This window comes from Homo sapiens, chromosome 5 (genome assembly GCF_000001405.40).
Source record: "Homo sapiens chromosome 5, GRCh38.p14 Primary Assembly".
In the NCBI taxonomy this organism is placed as follows: Eukaryota; Metazoa; Chordata; class Mammalia; order Primates; family Hominidae; genus Homo; species Homo sapiens.
The window spans coordinates 160,152,014-160,177,359 of NC_000005.10; the positions used below are offsets into that span (position 1 = coordinate 160,152,014).

Sequence of the window (25,346 nt, forward strand, 5' to 3'; positions counted from 1 at the left end):
AGGTTCCAGTGATTCTCCTGCCTCAGCCTCCCGAGTAGCTGGGATTCAGGCACATACCACCACACCCAGGCAATGTTTTTATTTTTAGTAGAGACTGGGTTTCACCATGTTGGCCAGACTGGTCTCGAACTCCTGACCTCAGGTGATCCACCCACCTGAGCCTTCCAAAGTGCTGGGAATATAGGCGTGAGCCACCACACCCAGCCATGTTGCTCTTTCATAACCACACCAAACCTAACTCCTGCCTCTCCTCTTCATCCCTAATCTCTGGCAACTGTTCATCTGCCTCCATTTCTAAAATTTTATCATTTCAAAATGTTATGTAAGTGGAACAATACAGTAAATACTATTTGGGAATTGGCTTTTTTCACTTAGCTTAATTCCCTGGAGATTCTTCTCAGTGGTTGCATATATCAGTATTTCCTTCCTTTTTGTTGTTGAGTACTATTTCATGGTATGTAGCTTTCACTATTTGTTTGACTGTTCACCTGTTGAAAGACCTGTAGGTTGATTCCAGTTTTGGCTATTACAAATCATGCTGCTATACACATTTCTTTTTTTTCTTTTTTTTTGAGACAGAGTCTCATTCTGTTGCCTGGCTGGAGTGCAGTGGCATGATCTCGGCTCACTGAAACCTCCACCTCCTGGGTTCAAGTGATTCTCCTGCCTCAGCCTTCTGAGCAGCTGGGACTACAGGCGCGCACCACCACCCCCAGCTAATTCTGTATTTTTAGTAGAGACGGGATTTCACAATGTTGGCCAGGACGGTCTCGATCTCTTGACCTCGTGATCTACCTGCCTCAGCCTCCCAAAGTACTGTGATTACAGGCATGAGCCACCGCGCCTGGCTGCTATATGCACTTCTATACAGGCTTTGTGTAACTGTAAGTTTTATTTTCTTGGGATAAATGCCTACGAGCGCAATTGCAGCATTGTATGGTAGTTGCATGTTTAGTTTTTTAAGAATCTGCCCAATTGTTCTTCACAGTGTCTGTACCATTTATATTTCCATCAGCAATGTATGAGTGATCCAGTTTCTCTGCATCCTCACCAGCATTTGTTGTTGTCACTATTTTTTATTTTAGTCATTCGGATACTTATGTAAGTGATAACCCATTGTGGTTTTTAATTTGCATTGCCCTAACGGTGAATAATACTGAATGTGAAAATATACTTATTTCTCATTTATATATTCGCTTTGATGAACTTTTGCTTCATGTTCCAACCAGATTGTTTGTTTTTTTTTTTTTTTAACTATTGAGTTTGAGGCGTTTTTTGTTTTTCTGTTTTTGTTCTTTGTTTGTTGGAGTTGAGTTGAGTGGGGTCTCACTCTATCATCCAGGCTGAAGTACAGTGGCACAGTTATGGCTTGCTGCAGCCTCCAACTCCTGGGCTCAGGCAATCCTCCCACCTCAGCCTCCGGAGTAGCTGGAACTACAGATGTGCACCACCATGCCCAGCTGTATTTTAAATATTTTGTAGAAATGGGTTGTCACTGTGTTGTCCAGGCTGGTCTTGAACTCCTGGGTTCAAGCAGTCCTCCTACCTTGGCCTCCTACAGTGCTGGGATTACAGCACACCACAACCGGTCAAGTTTGAGAGTTTTTGCTATATTCTAGATATTAATCCTCTGTCAGATATATGGCTTGCAAATATTTTCTCCAACATGTACTTTGTCTTGTCATTGTCTTCACAGGGGCTTTCACAGAACAAAAGTTTGAAGTTTCAATAAAGTTCAGTTGATGAAGTTTTTATTATATAAATCATGCTTTTTATTTGTATTTATTTATTGATTGATTTTTTGAGATGGAGTCTTGCTCTTGTCACCCAGGCTGGAGTGCAGTGGCAACAACTCGGCTCACTGCAACCTCCACCTCCTGGGTTCAAGTGATTCTTCTGCCTCAGCCTCTCAAGTAGCTGGGATTATAGGCATGCACCACCATGCCCAGCTAATTTTTGTATTTTTAATAGAGACAGGGTATCACCATGTTGGCCAGGCTGGTCTGACCTCAGGTGATCTGCCCACCTCGGCCTCCCAAAGCGCTGGGATTACAGGCATGAGCCACTGAGCCCGGCGAAATCATGCTTTTTAGTGTCAAGTGTAAGAACTCCTTGCCTAGCCCTAGATACTGAATTTTCACCTATTTTTTTAAAGTTCTATAGTTTTACATTTTACATGTAAGTCTATGATCCATTTCAATTTAACTTGTGTATAAGGTATAAGGTTTAGGTTGAGGTTCATTTTTTGCTTGTGGATGTCTGATTTTTTTTTTTTTTTTTTTTTTTTTATTGAGACGGAGTCTTGCTCTGTCTCCCAGGCTAGAGTGCAGTGGTGCGATCTTGGCTCACTGCAACCTCTGCCTCCTGAGTAGTTGGGATTACAGGTGCTCACCACCGTGCCTGGCTAATTTTTGTATTTTTAGTAGAGACAGGGTTTCACCATCTTGGCCAGGCTGGTCTCAAACTCCTGACCTCTTGATCCATCTACCTCGGCCTCCCAAAGTGCTGGGATTACAGGCATGAGCCACCGTGCATTTTTTTTTTTTTTTTTTTTTGAGATGGAGTTTTGCTCTTGTTGCCCAGGCTGGAGTGCAATGAATGGCATGATTTTGGCTCACTGCAACCTCTGCCTCCCAGGTTCAAGAGATTCTCCTGCCTCAGCCTTTAGAGTAGCTGGGATTACAGGTGCCCACCACCATTCCCGGCTATTTTTTTTTTTTTTAGACAGAGTCTTGCTCTGTTACCCAGGCAGAAGTGCAGTGGTGCGTTCTCAGCTCAATGCAACCTCTGCCTCCTGGGTTCAAGCGATTCTATTGCCTCAGCCTCCTGAGTAGTTGGATTACAGGTGTGTGTGCCACCACACCTGGCTAATTTTATATTTTTATTAGAGACGGGGTTTCACTGTGTTGGTCAGGCTGGTCTCGAACTCCTGATCTCAAACAATCCACCTGCCTCGGCCTCCCAAAGTGCTGGGATTACAGATGTGAGCCACTGCGCCCAGCCAATTTTTGTATTTTCAGTAGAGATGGGGTTTCACCATGTTGGCCAGGCTGGTCTCAAACTCCTAACCTCAAGTGATCTGCCCGCCTCGGCCTCCCAAAGTGCTGGAATTACAGGCATGAGCCACTGCGCCCGCTGGATGTCTGATTTGATTTGCTTGATTTTTAACCATTGTCCCCCTCTTCATTACTCATTCCTATCACACAGAAGTATCTTGCGCAACCAACTGTTTTATGACATGCAGCATTAGGTTTTGTTTTGATCCTAAAATAAATTGCTATTAACTCTGAGATTTTTACAGAATCCTCTAAGGTGGCTAGAGACCCTCTTAGATATTCCCAAAACAAGTTTGGGAATTATTGCACCAGAAGGCTTTGGGAGTTTGATGCATTGTTGCTTTTCTGACTTACTCATTGTTCCATGTTATACTTACCCATGCTGGTTGTCACCTGTATGGCATCTAGCCATACCACTTTGTTTGCACTGTTTATCTGTTTTTATCTTCACAGCATGCCTGTAACATAGGTATTTTTATGCCTGTTTTCCAGATAAGGAATTGAAGGTGAGAGAAGTTAAATAACTTGCCTAAGGTCACAGAGAAGTAGAAGAACTGGAATTTGAACCCAATCCTGGTTTTAAAGCCTGTGTTGAAAGTGAAGACAACGCACAGAATGGGGAAAAACTTTTGCAAATTATACATCTGATAAGGGAGTTGTATCTAGAATGTATAAAAACACTTACAGATAGGCACGATGGCTCATGCCTATAATCCCAGCACTTTGGGAGGCAGAGATGGGCGGATCACCTGAGGTCGGGAGTTCGAGACCAGCCTGACCAACATGGAGAAACCCTGTCTCTACTAAAAATACAAAATTAGCCTGATGTGGTGGCGCATGCCTGTAATCCCAGCTACTCAGGAGGCTGAGGCAGGAGAATTTCTTGAACCTGGGAGGCAGAGGTTGCAGAGAGCTGAGATCATGCCATTGCACTCCAGCCTGGGCAACAAGACCGAAACTCAGTCTCAAAAAAAAAAAAAAAAACACACACACCTGCAACTCAATAATAATGAAACAACCCAGCAGGGCACAATGGCTCACATCTATAATCTCAGTATTTTGGGAGGCCAAGGCAGGTGGATCATTTGAGCTCAGGAGTTCAAGACCATCCTGGGCAACATGGCGAAACCCAATCTCTACAAAACTACCAAGAATTAGCCGGGTGTGGTGGCACACACCTGTAGTCCCAGCAACTCGGGAGGCTGAGGTGCGAGGATCACTTGAGCCTGGGAGGCGGAGGTTGCAGAGAGCCAAGATCATGCCGTTGCACTCCAGCATGGATGACAGAGTGAGACCCTGTCTCAAAAAATAATAATAATAATAAGACAACCCAATTTAAAAATGGACAAAGAAGGCCAAGTGCAGTGGCCACATGCCTGTAATCCCAGCACTTTGGGAGGCCAAGGCAGGTATCACTTGGGCCCAGGAGTTTGAGACCAGCCTGGGCAACATAGTGAGACCCCATCTGAAAAAAATTTTTTTTAAAAAAAGGACAAAGACATTGAGTAGGCATTTGTCCAAAGAAGATAGACAAATCGCCAAGAAGCTTACAAAAAGATGCTGAATATCACTAGCAATCAGGTAAACGCAAATCAAAACTACAATGAGATAACACTTCACAGTCACTAGATGGCTATAATATTTAAAAAGACAGATAGTAGCCGGGCACGGTGGCTCACGCCTGTAATCCCAGCACTTTGGGAGGCTGAGGTGGGCAGATCACGAGGTCAGGAGTTCGAGACCACACTGGCCAACATAGTGAAACCCCATCTCTACTAAAAATACAAAAAATTAGCCAGGTGTGGTGATGGGCACCTGTAGTCCCAGCTACTCGGGAGGCTGAGGCAGGAGAATCACGTGAACCTGGGAGGCAGAGGTTGCAGTGAGCCAAGATCATGCTACTGCACTCCAGCCTGGGCAACAGTGTGACACTCTGTCTCAAAAAAAGAAAAAAAAAAAAGACAGTAACAGGTTTTGGTCATCAGCTTTCTGGGCCTTGGTTTCTCCACTTATGAAGTAAGGGGTTTGGACCAGTTCTGGGATGGCTGACAGCCTACATTCCGCCACACACACCCCTGCCATGGCAGGGTTTGCCAATTGATGATGGTACATGTGTTAATCAGCCTCAGAATTATTGTCAACACAGTGTTCTCATCAGCTACCACCAATGGATTGGAGTTAGCACAGAGGTTAGGACCTACCAGCATGTGCCTGAAATGGTGCAATTCTAAAGGTCCACCTAACCCTGATATTCTGATGAATTTGAGCCTCTAGGTTTACAATCACAACAGGAGGAGAATATGAAACTGATAGGAACAGGGGCATTAGAACCAGAGAATCCCGGGTTTGAATACCAGCCATGCTACTTCCAGGTTATATGGAATCTTGGGTGAGTCATTTCTTTTCTTTTTTTTTTTTTTTTTTTTTTGAGATGGAGTCTCGCTCTGTCACCAGGCTGGAGTGTAGTGGCATGATCTCAGCTTACTGCAGCCTCTGCCTCCTGGGTTCAAGCAATTCTCGTGCCTCAGCCTCCCGAGTAGCTGGGGCTACAGGCGCACACCGCCATACACAGCTAATTTTTTTTTTTTTTTGTATTTTAATAGAGATGGGGTTTCACCATGTTGCCCATGCTGGTCTCGAACACCTGAGCTCAGACAATCTGCCCACCTTGGCCTCCCAAAGTGCTAGGATTACAGGTGTGAGCCCCTGTGCCTGGCCGAGTCATTTCTCTTTATGCCTTGGTTTCTTCTTCTCTGTAAAATGGGATCAGAATCCCTAACACATAAGGTTTCAAAAATTAAATTGAGATGCTACTTGTACCTTTTGCTTACATATAGCAGGAACTGCATAAATGGAATGTAAACAGACACAGCCGGCAAATGTGTACACCAAGAGACTTGTCTTCCACCTGTTCATACCACCCTCTCCTCCCACAAAGCAGAGAAACTCTGACAAGTGGCTTCTGACTCGTGCTGCTGAGGACACCGAGATGAATTAGACATGGTCCTTGTCCTCAGGATGTTCACAGTCTAGTGGGGAAAACACAGGTACAGCATGTTGGGGCCATTTAGGAGAGAAACCTGAAGACTGTGAGATTTTGCCAGGTAAGTAAATGCTCCTGTAGCCACCAAGGACAGAGAGCGGGTGTAGGCTGATTTTGTACCCCAGGCGACACTTGGTAGTGGCTGGAAACTTTTGGTTATCATGACTGGAGGTGAGGTTGGGGAGAGGTGATACTGGCATCTAGTGGGTAGAAGCCAAAGAACATCCTGAGATGCACAGGACAGCACCAACAACAAAGAATGATTTTGGCCTGGCGCGGTGGCTCACACCTGTAATCCCAACAATCCGGCTGAGGCGGGCGGATCACCTGAAGTCAGGAGTTCGAGACCAACCTGGCCAACATGGCGAAACCCCATCTCTACTAAAAATACAAAAATTAGCCAGGCGTCGTGGCACACGCCTGTAATCCCAGCTATTCAGGAGGCTGAGGCAGGAGAATCGCTTCAACCTGGGAGGCGGCGGTTGCAGTGAGCTGAGATTGCGCCACTGCACTGCAGCCTGGGAGACAGAGCAAGACTCCAGCTCAAGAAAAAAAAAAAAGAATGATTTCTCCCAAAATGTCAATAGTGTCAAAGTGGAGAAACCCTGGATGAAGGCTGCATTGGGAGTCTTCTGTCTGACTGTCATGAAGAGGGAGACATGAGCAGGAACACATAGGAATTTATAAGCCAGCCTAGACTTTTTCTTGAGGCTCTCAGGAAGACACTGAAGAGTTTTTATCAGTCCAGCGGCAGGACTGAATTTGTACTTTATTTTTCATTTATTTATTTATTTTTCGAGATGGAGTCTCACTCACTCTGCTGCCTAGACTGGAATGCAGTGGCATGATCTCTGCTCACTGCAACTTCCGCCACCCGGGTTCAAGCCATTCTCCTGCCTCTGCCTCTTGTGTAGCTGGGATTACAGGCGCCTGCCACCACGCCCAGTTAATTTTTGTATTTTTAGTAGAGACGGGGTTTCGCCATGTTGCTCAGGCTGGTCTCAAACTCCTGGCTTCATGTGATCCACCCACCTTGGCCTCCCAAAGTGCTGAGATTACAGGCGTGAGCCGCCACTCCCAGCCTCTGGATTTGCACTTTAAAAAGACCCCTCTGAGGCCAGGCGCAGTGGCTCACGCCTGTAATCCCAGCACTTTGGGAGGCCGAGACGGGCGGATCACAAGGTCAAGAGATCGAGACCATCCTGGCTAACATGGTGAAACCCCGTCTCTACTAAAAATACAAAAAGTTAGCTGGGTGTGGTGGTGGGTGCCTGTAGTCCCAGGTACTCGGTAGGCTGAGGCAGGAGAATGGCGTGAACCTGGGAGGCAGAGCTTGCGGTGAGCCGAGATTGTGCCACTGCACTCCAGCCTGGGCGACAGAGCAAGACTCTGTCTCAAAAAACAAACAAACAAAAAAGGCCGGGCACGGTGGCTCACACCTGTAATCCCAGCAATTTGGGAGACTGAGGTGGGCGGATCACGAGGCCAGGAGATAGAGACCATCCTGGCCAACATAGTGAAACCCCGTCTCTACTAAAAATACAAAAATCAGCTGGGCATGGCGGCATGTGCCTGTGATCCCAGGTACTTGGGAGACTGAGGCAGGAGAATTGCTTGAACTCAAGAGATGGAGGTTGCATTGAAGCTGAGATCGCGCCACTGTACTCCAGTGTGGTGACAGAGCTAGGCTCTGTCTCAAAAAAAAAAAAAAGTAAATTTTATGTTACATATATTTTACCACAGTTAAAAAAAATTAAATGGCGTCATCTTATAAGGTCAGTTAGCAAATGGCATCATCTTATAAGGTCAGTTAGGAGCCAAATATTTATTATGACCACTTTTTCTTAGATGTAGTTCAAAAAAGTGAGAATCCAAGAGCTCGGAGGCCAGAACAAGCAAGTTGGCAAACGCGGTCTGTGGTCTCAGTCGGGGGTGCAGCTTCACAGCCAAGGCCACGTGGGACTCAGATTTGGCTGCAGAGTCAGAGGAGGATGCTCCTGTGAGTGAGTGTGAACCCACTGACCATAAACATCTAGAAGCAGGCTCCCACACACACTAAGCTCCTGGCTGGGACGGTCCACCTGCGGGAGCCCTGCGAGCAAACCGCCTGAGATCCTGTCCTTTGTTTCAACAGGGCAGGAATTTCCGAGCCTGAGGTATTTGCATTTGGTATCTTAACTACCGACCTGTTTCTGCAGCTGCTAAACCACTGATACGCTTTCTCTGAATCCCCTGATGAGCAGTAGAAAATCAGTAAGCCTGGCCCTCTCAGTTTTCATGTCATAATTAGTATTTTATTCCTTGTGGGGAGAGAAAATAGCCCGAACACCTGCTCTCCGAGGTGTCAGTTGCCGACAGATCTCCTTTGTATACTCTCTATACATATGATTTTAGAGGAAGGACCCTTTAGGAGTCTTAGGCCAACCCACTCATTTCACAATGGAGCCAACACAATGTCAGAGAAGTAAACAGACTGCAGTGCAAGGGGTGTGGTGGTTCGAATCCCTGCAGGCCACTTCCAAGCTCTGCGCCTGGGTAAGTTATTTAACCTCCGGAAGCCTCATTCCCTCACAGTAAAACAAGGATGAAACAGCTTCCTCTTGGGGATCTTCTGAGGAATGAAGGCCATGGTGGGGTTTTAAGTTCGCTGGCAGCTGGCAGGAGGGAAACTCAGCCAGCACCCCCTCAGAGAATCCTGCCCATGACAGCCCCATCTCTTCACTCTCTCTCGTTCGACCTGGTGTTATTGTATTCTTGACATTTGTCTTTAACTGAAGTTGGTTATGTGTGTACTTTTTGGTTTTGTTACCAGAAAGGGGTCCTCCTGATCCAGACCACCAGAGAAGTTTCTTGAACCTCATGCAAGAAAGAATTTGGGGAGAGTCTATAGAGTAAAGTGAAAGCAAGTTTTTTTTGGTTGTTTTTTGGTTTTTTTTGAGACAGAGTCTGGCTCTTGTCACTCAGGCTGGAGTGCAGTGGCACGCTTGGCTCACTGCAGCCTCTGCCTCCTAGGTTCGAGCTATTCTCCTGCCTCACCCTCCCGAGTAGCTGGGATTACAGGCACCTGCCACCAGGCCTGGCTAATTTTTTTTTTTTTTTTTTTTTTTTGTAGTTTTAGTAGAAACAGGGTTTCACTATGTTGGCCAGGCTGGTCTCAAAATCCTGACCTCAGGTGATCTGCCCGCCTTAGCCTTCCAAAGTGCTGGGATTACAGGCGTGAGCCATTGTGCCCGGTCTGAAAGCAAGTTTATTAAGAAAGTAAAGGAGTAAAGAATGGCAACTCCTGCCTGTCGCTGTGGCTCACGCCTGTAATCCCAGCACTTTGGGAGGCCGAGGCAGGTGGATCACCAGAGGTCAGGAGTTCAAGACTAGCCTGGTCAACATGGTGAAACCCTGTCTCTACTAAAAATACAAAAATAAGCCAGGCGTGGTGGTGGGCGCCTGTAGTCCCAGCTACTCGGGAGGCTGAGACAGGAGAATTGCTTGAACCCAGGAGGTGGAGGTTGCAGTGAGCTGAATGCGCCATTGTACTCCAGCCTGGGAGACAGAGTGAGACTCCGTCTCAAAAACAAACAAACAAAAAAAAATTAGGTCTCGTAAGACTTATTCACTACCAGGAGAACAGTATGGGTGAAACCGCCCCATGATTCAATTATCTGGCCCTCCCCTTGACACGTGAGGATTGTTACAATTCAAGGTGAGATTCACGTGGGACACAGCCAAACCATATCAGACACTGAGGTTGATTACATATCTTGGCTATTGTGTAGTGCTGTGATAAACACAAGGGTACAGATAGCTCTGGACAAACTGATTTCCTTTCTTTTGAACACATACCTAGCAGTGGGGTTGCTGGATCATATGGTAGTTCTATGTTTTGTTTTTTGAGGATGATAACCTTTTTGTAGGCTCAGGTGTCCCTTTGAATCTGAAAAAAGTCATAAATGCTCTCCTAAGACATGTAACTTTTTGTAATTTTAGGGGGCTCCCAAAGCCTCTGATATTTATCAGAGATCCTCCAAAAAATAACGTCGGCTCAACCCAGACCCTCTATCTTAACTCTTCCTACAACTTCCCCAGTGGTCTTGTGTCTTTCCTGATGGTCTTCAAGAGCAGGAACTTCCTGTCTCTCCAGGCAGCCCATTCAAACAACAAGATTCAACAGAAACTTCTTCCCTCTGGTGAGAAGTCAGCTTCCCGGCATCGCTGCAGTGAGCCTGGAGCCCTGAGAACAGGTCAGCTCCCAGCTCCTAGACGGTTCCTCAGATGATGGCCTTTGGTCCTTCCCACCCTTCTTTCCTCAAAGGCTTTTTTTTTTTTTTTTTTTTGAGACAGGGTCTCGCTCTGTGGCCCAGGCTGGAGTGCAGTCGCACGATCTTGGCTCACTGCGACCTCCGTCTCCTGGGTTGAAGCGATTTTCCTGCCTCAGCCTCCCAAGTAGCTGGAATTACAGACACCCGCCATGACGCCCAGCTAATTTTCATATTTTTGTAGAGATGGGGTTTCACCATGTTGGCCAGGCTGCTGTTGAACTCCTGACCTCATGATCTGCCCGCCTCAGCCTCCCAAAGTGCTAGGATTACAGGCGTGAGTCACTGTGCCAGCCCTTTTTTTTTTTTTTTTTTTTTTTTTTTTTTTTTTTTGAGACAGAATCTTGCTCTGTTGCCCAGGCTGGAGTGCAGTGGCACCATCTCAGCTCACTGCAACCTCCGCCTCCTGCGTTCAAGCAGTTCTACTGTCTCACCCTCCCAAGTAGCTGAGACTACAGGTACACACCACTATGCCCAGCTAATTTTTGTATTTTTAGTAGAGACGGGGTTTCACCATATTGGTCAGGCTGGTCTTGAACTCCTGACCTCAGGTGGTTCACCCACCTCAGTCTCCCAACGTGCTGGGATTACAGGCGTGAGCTGCCATGCCCGGCTGGCTCCCTCTTTTTAAAATTTTTTTAGAGATGGGATCTCACTATGTTGCCCAGGCAGGACTCGAACTTCTGGGCTCCGGCAACCCTCTCATCTTAGCCTTCTGAGTAGCTGGGACTACAGGCATGTGCCACCAAGCCTGGCTAACTTCCCCCTTAAAGTGAGAGGCATGGAGATGACGGTGATGTTGCTTCTGAAAAGATGTCTTCATTTATGCTGAGAGCAGGTGTGGATGGAGGGAACCCCAAACCCCCTTTACATCCCCTTTTTTCTGACTCAGCCCAGCCTTGGCCAAGGGACTGGATATACCTTTCTGGGCCTAGATGAGTCCTACTGCAAACTAGCAGGCGGTTGATGAGATTGGGGTTACAAATGCAAATGCTTACACTGGGGTCATGCCAATAATAGAAACGTCTAGGAATATTCATTTCCTCTATAAACACGTAGGTTCTCTTCTGATTTCCTTGAAACATGCCACACTCTCAGTCTCGTTTCCTATTTCTGATGAATCCGTAGAGGCAGACTATCTAAAGTAATTAAAAAAAAAATGCAAGAGTGAAGGAAAATGATGGCGGGGCGTGGTGGCTCACACCTGTAATCCCAGCACTTTGGGAGGCCAAGGCAGGTGGATCACTTAAGGTCAGGAGTTTGAGACCAGCCTGGCCAACATGGTGAAACCCCATCTCTATTAAAAATACAAAAATTAGCCAGGCATGATGGCATGTACCTGTAATCCCAGATACTCAGGAGGCTGAGGCAAGAGAATCACTTGAACCTGGGAAGCCGAGGTTGCAGCAGGCTGAGATTGCCCCACTGTACTCCAGCCTGGGTGACAGAGCAAGACTGAGTCTCAAAAAAAAAAAAAAAAAAGGAGTGAAGGAAAATGACAACTGGCACTTGGTCTCAGTGGAGGGGAATAAGAGGGGCCTGCTGACTGTCTATGGGGAACATGTAGGATGCCCACTCTGTCTTTAGGGCAACTGGCACTCAGCATATGCTGATTGGTGCCATGTGGACATGGATGCCCAATGTTAGCAGATCTCACACACTTTCTAGAGAAATTGAACACATCAATTTTTATTTGAAATTTCCCGATTATTAAAACTTTGGCTCAAATTTTTCTTAAAAAGTAGGAGGGCCAAGTACAACGTATTCTGGACTGTGAGCTGCCAGCCTGCCATCTCCAGATTAGGTGGGTTTTTTGTTTGTTTGTGTTGTTTTGTTTTGTTTTTGAGACAGAGTCTCCATCTGTAGCCCAGGCTGGAGTGCAGTGGCGAGATCTAGGCTCACTGCAACCTCTGCCTCCCGGGTTCAAGCAATTCTCTGCCTCAGTCTCCCGAGTACCTGGTATTACAGGCACCTACCACCATGCCTGGCTAATTTTTTGCATTTTTAGTAGAGATGGGGTTTCACCATCTTGGCCAGGCTGGTCTTAATCTCCTGACGTCGTGGTCTACCCACCTCAGCCTCCCAAAGCGCTGGGATTACAGGTGTAAGCCACCGTGTCCGGGCTTTTTTTTTTTTCTTTTCTTTTGAGACAGGGTCTCCTCTGTCACTCAGGCTGGAGTGCACTAGTGCGATAATGACTTACTGTAGCCTCAACCTCCCAGGCTCAGGTGATCCTCCTGCCTCAGCTTCTTGAGTAGCTGGGACCACAAGTCTGTGCCACCTGGCCTGGCTAATTTTTTAAAAAATTATCTGTAGAGGCAGGGTCTCCCTATGTTGCCCAGGCATACCTTGAGCTTGTGGGCTCAAGCGATCCGCCCACCTCAGCCTCCCAAAAGGCTGGCATTACAGACGTGAGCCACTGAGCTATCCCAGATTAGGTGTTTTTAAAGCTGTCTTTCTGCTGGAATGTTCTATGGAGAGAGCAGTGAACAGGGAAGGAGGAAAAGAAGAAGGGATAGCAGGAGTCACTGGGGAATCTCTTTGAGACCCAGTTGCGGGGAGAGGAAGAAGGTCTGGCCTTTCTACTCAGTAAGGCTCTGTTTAGGTTAACCCTTCTTTTCCTCTTGCTGCTGGCTCTCACTTGGGAGAAACGTAATGGCCCAAGCCTTAAGAGTGTCTGAGCAGATCTGAACTGCATGCTCCAGTGTGTTGCTGGAGAGGCGTGGCTGTGGCTCTGGTGGAAGGTGAGAGGGGAGACCACTATCCTAGTCTAGAAGAGGCCTGAGGCCTCGGCCTCCAAGAGGACCGCTCTCTGTGCCCTGGCCTGCTGCTATCCCTGGAGGAGCCCCGGATGTCCTTCCGACTGGGCCTGTGTGTCAGGGAGAGAGAATGTAGTCTGTGGTCAGTGTGGCTGGCAGCCAGCCTGGCAGATGGCCAGAACCCAGAGCTCGCTGGGAAGGAGCATAAACAAGGCGCCTGGTGGGCAGCTGTGACCCAGAATCTTCCAGCAGAAGAGCAGTGAGGAAGGAGGGGGGAATGCCAGGGGGACCCTCGCCCCGATTCCCCAGGCTGCCCAGCACTCAGGCATCAGTCAGGGACAGCATGGGGCTCCCTGAGGCACCGGGCAAGCAGCTGCCACAGAAAGAACTGGAGGAGCCCACTTTGAAGGGGTCTCCTGAGACTCTGTGATCCCATGACTCTGTGATTCAGCTTTTCTTACACTGTAGAGTCACTCTGTACAGAGGACATCTGTGGTTTTCCCTTGCCGAGCATCCACTCTGCTCCTTCTGTTAGCAGCACCCTAGTTATCCTCCGGGAAACCACCCCGCCTCCACTCAGTCCATGCGGTTTGGGTGAGGCTGACTTTGCTTTTCCACCCTCCCAGCTTGAGGGTGGGCATGTGTGCCCGGCCTGGCCAATCAGCAGACTTCTTCTTCTGCTGGATCCAGTGAAACCCAATCCAAGGGATTTTGCTGGAACTCTTGGGAAAAGTAAAATTGACAGCAATTGGCTTGATGCATATCTGGAGGTGCTGGGGGCCATCTGGTCCTGACATGGGAGGAGCTTGCCAGAGAATGAAGCCATCACAGAGAAAGACAGCATAGAGAGGGAGGGAGAGGACAACAGATTGATTAATTGACATGTGTAAGAGACAGAAAAATAACTGAGACTTGATGAAATGGTTTGAGCTCCTAGATCCAGCTTTAAATGATGTAGTTGGTATCTAATCCCTGGACTTTTCAGTGAAGGGGTCTAGAATATGCTGCCATGGCATAAAAATTATTATGAGCAGAAGGGATTTGAGTTCCTGAAATCTTTGATCTGCCTAAAAGTAGAGCCTCCCAAAAGAACTCAATTATAAATCCCCTCCCAGAGCAATCAGGGAAGATTGACTGTTATCTCTGAAGGCTAGAAGTCACCACACCTAAACAGACTGTCACAAAATTATCATATCTCCCATCTATTCTCCTAAGGGCCCATCTCTCTTTCCTAAAAGTCACGTGTTCCTGTAAGTGCCCTTCTCCCTTTTCCTTCCTCTATTAAGATGGTATATAAACTCCCAATTCTAATGCCTTCCTGAGTCACATTTTTGTGTGAATTCCTTTAAGGATAAGATTAAATGATTAAATCCGTCTCTTCTCATGCTAATCTGTCTTTTGTCAGTTTAATTTGCAGGCCCCCAGTCATTATCCTAACAAGGTAGAGGAAAACTTTTCCCTGCCCCGTCTCCACCTGCTCATCTAAGCTTCCATGACTCCAACATTCTACACAAGTCTATGATTTACCTAAGAACTAAATTCTACTTCATTTTCTTCAAGGCAGAAAGAAGCCAGCAAAGAACCTGGGGCCCTTTAAAACCCACCCTGATTGCTTGGAATTGGAGGGATTTGCCAATGAAATCTCAAGGATCCTGGCTGCATTTCTGCCCTGTCAGCACCCCCGGTGTTATCGGAAAAGGGGGTCCTGATACAGAACTCAAGAGAGGGTTCTTGGACCTCACACAACAAAGAGTTTGGGGAGAGTCCATAAAGTGAAAGCAAGTTTATTAAGGAAATAAAGGAATAAAAGAACGGCTACTCCATAGGCAGAGCAGCAGCTTGGGCTGCTGGACTAAGGATACTTATTGCTTGATTATATGCTAAACAGGGGGTGAATTATTCATGATTTTTCAGGAAAGGGGTGGGCAATTTCCGGAGCTGAGGGTTCCCCCTCTTTTAGACCATATAGGGTAACTTCCTGATGTTGCCGTGGCATTTGTAAACTGTCGTGGCACTGGTGGGAGTGTCTTTTAGCATGCTACTGCATTGTAATTAGTGTATAATGAGTGGTGAGGATGACCAGAGGTCACTTTCATGACCATCTTGGTTTTGTTGAGTTTTGGCCGGTGTCTTTACTGCAACCTGTTTTATCAGCAAGGTCTTTTATGACCTGTATCTTGTGCCGACCTCCTATCTCATCAACGCGTGACTAAGGATGCCTTAACTTTTTGGGAATGCAGCCCAGTAGGTCTCAGCATTATTTTACTCAGCTCCTGTTCAAGATGGAGTCGCTCTGGTTTGAATGCCTCTGACAACAGCATATACCCTAGGGAAACTTGATTTCTAGAGCACAAACCCGCAAAGAGAATGCCATGGGTCCTAGTAGTGTCCTTCATTCATCTGTCAATTCAATGCAAATGTATGGAACACCAACTGTTTTCAAAGATGAAGTTCTTATCCTCAGAGATCTTAGATTTTGGTGAGGAAAACAGACCAGTAAAAAAAATTTCATCAGAAAGTGATTAGTGCTATATTAGAGGTAAGTACCGAGAAGCAGCCTGTAGACCAGGGGGAGGCAGTAGGCATGACATAGGTGCTTCATGAAAGAAGTGACCTTTGAGCTGAATTCCACAGGATGAGGAGTCAGGCAGGAGAGAGGGTAGAAGAAGAGCTTTCCGGGCAAGCAAAGGAGCAATATGAGGTGCCAAATCCAAGGGATGGGAGAGGCTGTGGCTTGTAAGAGGAATTAGCTGGGGTAGAGTTGGTGTGGGTAGAGATTCCCTATTAGGGAACAGGGTGGCTGGCATGCTGTTTGACAAGCTGGTTTTGATGAGGGCTGCTTCCTACATGTAAGAACATACAGACAGCAAGCAACACAGCTCAGTCCCAAACCTGAGCCCCGGGCAAAGCCTGACTCATGTCCAAAGAGTAGAAAACAAGCTGGTGGATCCCCAGTCAGGGTTCCAAGCCAAGGGGTACAGCAGAGCCTCTGAGCATACGTATTGGTGAGCTCCATGCCCACAGTGGGCACTTGGACCTTTCCCTATTGGAAATTACTGTAGGCCACTAAAGGCAGGGCCCAGCGATACTTTGCAAAAATCTTCATTCTCTTCTCCCGCTCCCCAATTCCTCCTAGATACCCCTTTTTCCCATGCATGTCCTTCAGCTCTGCAGAGCCTATGAGGACAGTAAATGACCATGTGTAAAAGTAGGTGCTTTGTGGAGCCAGGCAACCCCAGGTTCCACTCCTTGCTGGGCCATTATTGAGAGTGTGACCTTTTTTTTTTTCCCCTTTTGGCTTTTTTCTGGGGGTTGGGGTGAAGGACACAGTCTCACTCTGTTGCCGAGGCTGGAGTGCAGTGGTGTGAGCATAGCTCACTGCAGCCTTGAACTTCTGGGCTCAAGCAATCCTCCTGCCTCAGCGTCCCATGTAGCTGTTACTACAGGTATGCACCGCCATGCCCAGCTGATTTCTTTATTTTGTAGAGACAAGGTCTTGCTGTGTTGCCTAGGCTGGTCTTGAACTTCTGGCCTCAGGCAATCTGGCCTCCCAAAGTACTGGGATTACAGGCATGAGCCACTGTGCCTGGCATGAGTGTGACCCTTTTTTTTTTTAATTTAAAATTTTTTAAAATTTTATGTATTTATTTTCTGAAACGGGGTCTCACTCTCTTACCCAGCCTGGAGTGCAGTGGCGCAATCTCGGCTCACTGCAACCTCCGCCTCCTGGGTTCAAGTGATTCTCCTGCCTCAGCCTCCCAAGTAGCTGGGAAAGTAGGTGCCTGCCACCATGCCTGGCTAATTTTTGTATTTTTAGTAGAGACAGGGTTTTGCCATTTTGGTCAAGCTGATCTTGAACTCCTGACCTCAAGTGATCCGCCTGCCTCAGCCTCCCAAAGTGCTGGGATTACAGGCGTGAGCCACTGCGCCCAGCCAAGTGTGACCTTCTGACACAGTTTCTCTGTATCTCTCTCCTCCTCTGCAGAATGAAGATTATAGTACAGATTACATGAAGTAATGCATATATAGTGAAACAGTCATAAATTCACTCATTGACTCTTTTGTCTGTGGAGCATTCCTTTCTTTGGGAATCCATGCTATTCATTCCATGTACTCTGTTGAGACTTTCAGTCAGAGCCTTGGCCTCTTCCTGGGCACAGGGTAGGGGCACAGACCATGCCCAGCCAATCATGAGATCCCCTTTTTGGCAACAGTGATTGGTCCCTGGGGTGGGCTGAAGCCTCAAGAAAGCCAACCAGAGCCTGCCTTGGGAAAGGACTGCTTCTTCCTGGGGTTACTGAGCTGGGAGAATATAAATCCCGAGAGAGCCTGTCTATCTGTGGATGAAGTCACTTCTTAGAAGGAAATACAGCCAAGATGACGAAGATGATGTAGACATCATCTTGCATTGCTTGAAGCCAGATTCACTTCCTGACTTCCTAATTCTATGAGCCAGTTCGTTAGTTGGGTTTTCCTTATTTAGTTGGGGTTCCTTTACTTGTAGTCATAAGAATCTTAAATCATTTGGCATGCAAAGCCCTGAGCACAGTATCTGCCACATACGAAGGGCTCAAAGAATTGTCACTACAGTGAGGAGGGTGGAAATGATCTTATTCCCCCTTCATCACCACCGTTTTTACTCCCAGAACACAGTTTCACTTCTTTTCCTTCTGGTCTGCTGGCTGTGTGGGCTTCCCATTGGCAGGAATGGGGTAGGGGTCAGGGATACAGTGACAGGCAAGCCAAACTACCCAGTGCCCACCAGACAGACAGCATGGGAGCTGTGGCCACACCACCAACGTCCCCAGCGTGTCCACTGAATGTGATTGGAATCAACTGCACGGTAGAGCAGGAATAAGCTGGAGTCAGACTGACCTAGTTTAAATTCCATCGCTAGAGCTGTGTGACCTATAAAAGGTCACTTTATCTTTCCAGGCTTCTGTTTTTTTTTTTCTATAAAACCAAAACAATAATGGCCCCTGTTTCTCCAAGGGAAGTCATGAGGATTAAATGAGGAAAAAAAGAGAAACCTGGTATTAATATTGTGGTATTAATATGTTCCGGGCATTGGTCTAAGCACTTTGCAAGCTATTAGTCTAATTAACCTTCACAACAAGCCTGGGTGGCAGGTATTACTATTCTTCCCACTTAAAAGATAAAGGAATTGTGGCCGGGCGTGGTGGCTTACATCTGTAATCCCAGCACTTTGGGAGGCTCAGGCGGGTGGATCACCTGAGGTCAGGAGTTCAAGACCAGCCTGGCCCACATGGTGAAACCCCCTCTCTACCAAAAATAAAAAAATTAGCCAGGCGTGGTGGTTGATGCCTGTAATTCCAACTACTAGGGAGGCTGAGGCAGGAGAATCGCTTGAACCTAGGAGGCAGAGGTTGCGGTGAGCCGAGATCACGCCATTGCACTCCAGCCTGGGCAACAAGAGCGAAACTCTGCCTCAAAAAAAAAAAAAAAAAAAAAAAAAAAATGAAGGAATTGAGGTTAGTGTGCCCTGAAGTAGAACCCAGCAGTTGTGGTACATCATGTGATATCTGAAAAGCAAGGGAAGGGGCAACAACTGGGGGCCCTGATGGTGCCTCCTTCCCTTTACATTTTCATATCTAGAAGCCTCTACAGACAGCTCTACATTGCTGGGTGCAGACCCGCCATAAAAAGCAAGCTCTCTCCTCTTTTGAGATGGAGTCTTGCTTTGTCGCCCAGGCTAGAGTGCGATGGCATGGTCTTGGCTCACTGCAACCTCCGCCTCCCAGGTTCAAGCAGTTCTCCTGCCCCAGCTTCCTGAGTAGCTGGGACTACAGGTGCATGCCACCACACTGGCTAATTTTTGTATTTTTAAAAGTAGAGACAGGGTTTCACTATGTTGGCCAGGCTGGTCTTGAACTCCTGACCTCAAGTGATCCACCCGCCTCGGCCTCCCAAAGTGCTGGGGTTACAGGCATGAGCCACCTCGCCTGGCCCTTCTCTCTCTTTTTTTTTATTTTTATTTTTTTGAGACGAAGTCTTGTCTGTTGCCTAGGCTGGAGTGCAGTGGCACGATCTCAGCTCACTGCAACCTCCGCCTCCTACGTTCAAGTGATTCTCCTGCCTCAGCCTCCTGAGTAACTGGGACTACAGGCACCCACCACTACACCCGGCTAATTTTTGTATTTTCAGTAGTGACGGGGTTTCACCATATTGGCAAGGCTGGTCTCAAACTCATGATCTGCCCTCCTCAGCCTCCCAAACTGCTGAGATTACAGGCGTGAGCCAATGCGCCCAGCCGGCCCTTCTCTTTAAAGGGAATAGGAGCAGCCTAAATCACCCCAGCAACTGCTTTGGGGTCTGAGAGAAGCAGATGCAGCAGTTGTTGAAAATCAGGAGGCACTTAAGTAAGGTGAGATCCCAGCTCCATATGACGTTCTTTTGCAAAAGCCTTGTGGGGTCCCCTTATTCCCCTTACACATGCAGACCTCTGTATGACCTTAGTGAGTAGCTGGGAAGCAGCTGCTACCTGCTGTTCTGGAAGCAGGCAGGATCCCACAGGTGACAGTATGAGTAAAGGTAAAAGATCCTGGCCAGAGCACAAGAGATATGGGGTCTGAGCCTGCTCTGGCAGGATAGAGCATAGCTGGATATGGGAACACTTCCCTTTGACGCAGCATTCTGTCTCTAGGGATTTATCACACAGATAATCTTGCAAAAGCGCATAAAGACTTCAGAAGAAGGCTATTTGCTGCAGCATGGATTGTGATTAGCAGAAGACTAGAAAAAAAAGACCAAGTGGCCAGTAGGAGGTGATTTAATTAAACAAATTATGATGCACCTGAACAATGGAATGCTCTGTGCTCTTACAAGAAATGAGGTTCATGTAGATGTGCTGAAACAGGCTGACATATGAGACAAGTTGTTAGTGAAAAATGCAAGGTAAGAACAGTGTGTCCGTTATACTCACATTTGTGGGGGGTGCTAAGAAGAGGTGTTTGTGTGTATTTATGAAATCATCTTTTGCTATCTAAATCTATTTGGTTTCTGAATTCAGATATCTAGGGTTCAGAAAGCAAGGAATGCTACATTACTGGAATCTTTGACTCCTACATTTCATTTCAGACAGCAAACAGCAAGAGTCAGATAGCAGATAGTTCATCCAAGAGGTGGTCTGAATCCATTTAGTTTTCTGCGTTGGAATAGTATTTGGATAACTAGAGTAGATAGTAGAGACATCTGTATATGTATAATTCTCACACCTATTTATATGTGGACTCTCTGGGAAGACACACAAGAAATTGATTAGTAATGATTTTTGCAACAGGGAGTAAGTCGGCCCTGAGGGGACAAAGTGAAAGGCAAACTTATGTTCTCAGTTTTCATATATGTTGTGGTCATTTTTTTATTTTTCAGATGGAGTCTTGCTTTTATCGCCCAGGCTGGAGTGCAATGGCGCAATTTCAGCTCACTGCAATCTCTGCCCCCTGGGTTCAAGCGATTATTCTGCCTCAGCCTCCTGAGTAGCTGGGATTACAGGCGCCCGCTACCATGCCCAGCTAATTTTTGCATTTTTAGTAGAGATAGGGTTTCACCATGTTTGCCAGGCTGGTCTTGATCTCTTGACCTCAGGTGATCTGCCTGTCTTGGCCTCCCAAAGTGTTGGGATTACAGGCGTGAGCCGCTGTGCCTAGCCGTCGTGATGGTTTTAAAACATGGTCCCAGACTTCTTTGAGAGGTGAGGTCTATGTCTTTGCCCATTGAATCTGAGTAGGTTTGCAATTGGTATAGGCCAATCAGGAATGGCTGGGGTGACATTTTATGACTTTTTTTTGTTCTTATTTGAGACGGAGTCTTGCTCTGTTGCCCAGGCTAGAGTGCAGTGGTGCGATCTCAGCTCACTGCAACCTCCGCCTCCCAAGTTCAAGCAATTCTCCTGCCTCAGCCACCCGACTAGCTGGTATTACAGGCACCTGCCACTGTGCCTGGCTGATTTTTGTATTTTTAGTAGAGATGGGGTTGAACCATCTTGGCCAGGCTGGTCTCAAACTCTTCACCTCATGATCCACCCGCTTCAGCCTCCTAAAGTGCTGGGATTACAGTTGTGAGCCACTGCGCCCGGCCCATTTTACGACTTTTAAGGCTAGGTCATGGAAGGGTCATGCAGTTGCTTCTCGTTCTCTTGGATTGCTTGCTTTTGGCATGCTCTCTCTCTGATCCTCACCACCATGCTGGGAGAAGCCCAAGCCAGATGCAGCAGCCCCACAGAGGCACTGCAGTTCACATTCCCACCTCAGCTCCCCGCTCACGGCTAATATCATATGCCAGCCATGTGAGTGTGCATCTTGAAAGTTAAATCCCAGGCCGGGCATGGTGGCTCACGCCTGTAATCCCAGCACTTTGGGAGGCCAAGGCAGGTGGATCATGAGGTCAGGAGTTCAAGACCAGCCTGGCCAAGATGGTGAAACCTATCTCTACTAAAAATACAAAAATTAGCCAGGCATGGTGGCAGGCACCTGTAATCCAAGCTACTCGGGAGGCTGAGGCAGAGAATTGCTTGAACCCAGGAGGTGGAGTTTGCAGTGTGCCAAGATTGTGCCACTGTGCTCCAGCCTGGGCAACAGAGCAAGACTCTGTCTCAAAAAAAAAAAAAAAAAAAAAAAAGTTAAATCCTAGGCCAGGTGCGGTGGCTCACACCTGTAATCCCAGCACTTTGGAGGGCCAAGGCAGGTGGATCATCTGAGGTCATGAGTTCAGGACCAGCCTCTCCAACAATGTAAAACCCCATCTCTACTAATAATACAAAAATTAGCCAGGTGTGGTGGCACATGTCTGTAATCCCAGCTACTAGGGAGGCTGAGGCAGGAGAATCACTTGAACCTGGGAGGCAGATGTTGCAGTGAGCCGAGATCGTGCCATTGCACTCCAGCTTGGGCAACAAGAGTGAAACTCTTGTCTCCAAAAAAAAAAAAAAAAAAAAAAAAAAGTTCAGTCCCAGTCAAACATTCAGATGATGTTTTTCCCATGTGACTGCAACAACACCTGAGACCCCAGGTCTCATCTGAACTGGGTCAAGACATAAAACCACAAGAGATCATAATACATTGTTGTTTTAATCCACTACACTCTGGTGTGTGTGTGAATATTAACTGGAACATTTACATTACCACATGCATTACCTATTCGAAATTCAGAGTATCTTCCTTGTAAACATACAAGAGATGGTACTAAATGTTAAATGCACAGTATCTGTTTTATTCCTCACAAGATACTGCCATTATCCCTGTTTCACAGATGAGAAAACCGAGGCTCAGAGAGGTTCTTCTACTTGCCCAAAGTCACACAGCTCATAAGAGGCATGCCTGCAATATGAAACCAAGTGGCTTCTCAGCTCCAGGGCTGCCATTCATGAGTCCCCACTCAAGTCCGTGCCCACTGTAAACCTGAGTTTCCTCAGTGAGCACTTTGGAATGCACGAGGGGTAGAAAACTCAAAGCCACAGGGGCCTGGTCAGTAACACAAAAGGGCGAAGTGGGCACAGTTGTTGGCTCTGTCTGGAGCAGTTTCAACTTAGCTCAGGGAAAGGCCAGCCCAGAATTGCCAGATTTTGAATTTTTTTTTTTTTTTTTTTTTGAGACAGGGTTTCACACTGTCACCCAGGCTAGAGTGCAGTGGCGTGACCTTGGCTCACTGCAGCCTCAACCTCCTGGGCTCAGGCAATCTTCCCACCTTAGCTTCCTGACTAGCTGAGACCAGAGGCACGCAACACCACACCTAGCTAAGTTTTCCATTTTTTATAGAGACAGGGTCTCGCTATGTTGTCCAGGCTAGTGTCGAATTACTGGGCTCAAGAAGTCCACCTGCTTCAGCCTCTCAAAGTGCTGGGATTACAAGCAACACCCACTGTCCCTGGCCAGATCTTTGGAATTTTTAAGAGAAATCAGAAATCAGATTTTTATGTGCAACCTATTTCTGTTTAAATGTTGGCAACTAATTCTTTTTTTTTTTTTTTTTTAACTGTGCAGACTGAGAAGCAGAACAAAAACAACAGCAAAGGGCTGCTGATTTGTCTTTCTGGACTAGCAGATCTCTAAGGAGTCTTTGGCTCAGACATCTTGACTTTCAGCACAGTCTCTGGGGAGACAACATAAATTCCACTCCCAAGAGGTGGACATGGGAGAAAGGAGAGGGCAGTGGGGAAGATGGAGGTATCCAGCCTCCCCTCATTAAGCCCCTCCAGAGGTTATTTGGGGAATAGGGGTTGCTGGGAAGCCAGGTCACAGGGAGCTCGAGAGGTGCGGGAAGGCAGCTGGGCCTGCGATAAATCAGCCGCCATAACCTGCCCGCTTTCCCAGAGTCAGTCTGCTCCCTGGGGTGCAGGGAGCTGGCAGGGCACCAGGGGAGGCTGAATTTCCTTTGCAATGGGAACCCCCCCACCTCCGCCGCCCACACCAGCCATTTTCTCCACCTCTCCTTTCTCACTGCTCTTCCAATGGAAACCCTGCCCTCCCTTCCTCCCCCAATCGACCCTTCTTAGCTGAGGGGGGATTGATCCAGACCTTGCCTGTCTTTCTGGGCCTCCCTTCCCTCCCCCTCAGTGGCTTCGATTCCCTCCTGAGCCTACGGCCCATTCCGTCTTCAGCAGACTTGTCTTCCTCTGAGATCCAGCCTGGCAGAGAGCAGCCACGTGATTGATGAGCTAAGATGCTGGGCTGGCAGGCGGGTGGCAGCCAGCCAGAGACAAGGCTCTCACAAGATAGCAGAGCTGCCCCGGGGAGAGCCCGCAGCTACCGGGATGCGATGCTCCCTGGGGTTGCCCCCTTAGTCCCCCCATGCCTGGGTTGGTGGTGGCAGCACTCTGGGCAGAGCAGGTAGCCACAAGTGTCACTGGTACAGTACCTGGTGCGCACTGGTCCCTCAATGAATGAGTGCTCTCTTCTTTCCCCACTCCAAAACAGAGGCCCAAGTAGATGAACACAGTGAACTTCTTAAAGCTGGAAATGTCTGTCATTCAGTCATGCCACTCAGTTCAGGTGTTTGTAATTTGCCTATTCATTCATTCATTCATGTGTGCAACATGAAGCTTTGCTTGTGGAGGATCAGCACTCCATTGTCACTGCGAGTGTGGTCTTGGGAGGCAGGCTGGTTTGAATCCAGGCTCCATTCCTTCCTAGCTGCCTGACCTTGGGCAGGTCTCTTCACCTGCCTAAGTTGCAGCTTCTCTCAAGGTTGCCATTGCAAGATTCAGCCAGATAATACATGTAAACTGCTTAGAACAGAGCCTAGCATAGAAAAGAGATCAATAAATTCATTCATTCAACGACTGATAGCTGAAGGCCTACATTGGGCCAGGTTCTGGGGCCACAGTCACTAACAAGACAGGTAAGGTCTCTGATCTCAAGCACTTCATCTTTGAGAGAGGAAAGACTGACAGACACATAACTGAATGAAAAAACAAGGACATCCTAGGGAGAGCTAAGAGGATGTAAAATGGCGAGGGGTGATGGAGGGGGCAGTAGTCATGAAGGCCCTTTCAGGGAGGGGACTTGGGAGCTGAGTTTGGACGAGGAAGCGGCTGTCAGGTGAAAACCTGGGGAAACAGCATTCTAGCTAGAGGGAACAGCACATGTTCCTGGAGGCAGGAATAAACCTTGGAATATGTAAGAATCAGAAAAAGAAAAGAGAGACCACTGTGGAGAAGCAAAAGGAAGGGGAGCGTATAGGAGATGAGCTTGGAGACACAGACAAGCCAGATCAGCTAGGGCTTGCAGGCTGGCATAAAGGTTTTATTTTAAGCACAGTGGGAAGTGACTGTGCTTTTGTTTTTGTTTGCTTTTTGGTCTGTATAGCTGGAAAAAAAAGGAATTAATTGCCAACACTTTAAGCACAGGAGCAGTCTGACGGGGGAAATAGGAGAGAGAGCAGCTACCATGGTGGCTTGGGCTCCGGTGGTGGCCATAGCAAATTTAGGAGGGTTTGGGAGGCACAGGGACAGGTCTTTTCCTGGTTACCTGGGAGGAGGGTGATCACAATCAAGGTGTCCATTCTATTATCTCATTTGAGCCTCCTAATGAATGCTGGTGTAGGTCATGTACTGAGCTAGGGAAGCCTGGAGAGACTGTTTCGCAGCCTTTGTGGATAATGGTGATTTTGCTTTATGCAGTGAGTTAAGAATAGAGGGTACAATGCTTACAGGAGGTGATCT

The 25,346-nt window shown here is 47.4% G+C and overlaps 9 annotated features.

Moving 5' to 3' along the window:
• Positions 410-479: an enhancer, noted in NCBI's record as "active region_23556". NCBI's record gives its function as "activates an Ori minimal core promoter by ATAC-STARR-seq in GM12878 lymphoblastoid cells {active_cell/tissue: GM12878}" and the evidence as "EXISTENCE:reporter gene assay evidence [ECO:0000049][PMID:35858748]".
• Positions 7,937-8,006: an enhancer, noted in NCBI's record as "active region_23557". NCBI's record gives its function as "activates an Ori minimal core promoter by ATAC-STARR-seq in GM12878 lymphoblastoid cells {active_cell/tissue: GM12878}" and the evidence as "EXISTENCE:reporter gene assay evidence [ECO:0000049][PMID:35858748]".
• Positions 9,228-9,883: an enhancer, noted in NCBI's record as "H3K27ac-H3K4me1 hESC enhancer chr5:159588248-159588903 (GRCh37/hg19 assembly coordinates)". NCBI's record gives its function as "activates a minimal SCP1, AML or CMV promoter by ChIP-STARR-seq in naive H9 embryonic stem cells {active_cell/tissue: H9 hESC(naive)}" and the evidence as "EXISTENCE:reporter gene assay evidence [ECO:0000049][PMID:30033119]".
• Positions 10,541-11,195: an enhancer, noted in NCBI's record as "H3K27ac hESC enhancer chr5:159589561-159590215 (GRCh37/hg19 assembly coordinates)". NCBI's record gives its function as "activates a minimal SCP1, AML or CMV promoter by ChIP-STARR-seq in naive H9 embryonic stem cells {active_cell/tissue: H9 hESC(naive)}" and the evidence as "EXISTENCE:reporter gene assay evidence [ECO:0000049][PMID:30033119]".
• Positions 12,877-13,476: an enhancer, noted in NCBI's record as "NANOG-H3K27ac-H3K4me1 hESC enhancer chr5:159591897-159592496 (GRCh37/hg19 assembly coordinates)". NCBI's record gives its function as "activates a minimal SCP1, AML or CMV promoter by ChIP-STARR-seq in primed H9 embryonic stem cells {active_cell/tissue: H9 hESC(primed)}" and the evidence as "EXISTENCE:reporter gene assay evidence [ECO:0000049][PMID:30033119]".
• Positions 13,729-14,023: an enhancer, noted in NCBI's record as "tiled region #721; HepG2 Activating DNase unmatched - State 4:PromP". NCBI's record gives its function as "activates a minimal TATA promoter and a strong SV40 promoter by Sharpr-MPRA in HepG2 cells {active_cell/tissue: HepG2}" and the evidence as "EXISTENCE:reporter gene assay evidence [ECO:0000049][PMID:27701403]".
• Positions 13,729-14,023: a silencer, noted in NCBI's record as "tiled region #721; K562 Repressive non-DNase unmatched - State 21:Repr". NCBI's record gives its function as "represses a minimal TATA promoter and a strong SV40 promoter by Sharpr-MPRA in K562 cells {active_cell/tissue: K562}" and the evidence as "EXISTENCE:reporter gene assay evidence [ECO:0000049][PMID:27701403]".
• Positions 14,678-15,278: an enhancer, noted in NCBI's record as "OCT4-NANOG-H3K27ac hESC enhancer chr5:159593698-159594298 (GRCh37/hg19 assembly coordinates)". NCBI's record gives its function as "activates a minimal SCP1, AML or CMV promoter by ChIP-STARR-seq in naive H9 embryonic stem cells {active_cell/tissue: H9 hESC(naive)}" and the evidence as "EXISTENCE:reporter gene assay evidence [ECO:0000049][PMID:30033119]".
• Positions 23,640-24,228: an enhancer, noted in NCBI's record as "H3K27ac-H3K4me1 hESC enhancer chr5:159602660-159603248 (GRCh37/hg19 assembly coordinates)". NCBI's record gives its function as "activates a minimal SCP1, AML or CMV promoter by ChIP-STARR-seq in naive H9 embryonic stem cells {active_cell/tissue: H9 hESC(naive)}" and the evidence as "EXISTENCE:reporter gene assay evidence [ECO:0000049][PMID:30033119]".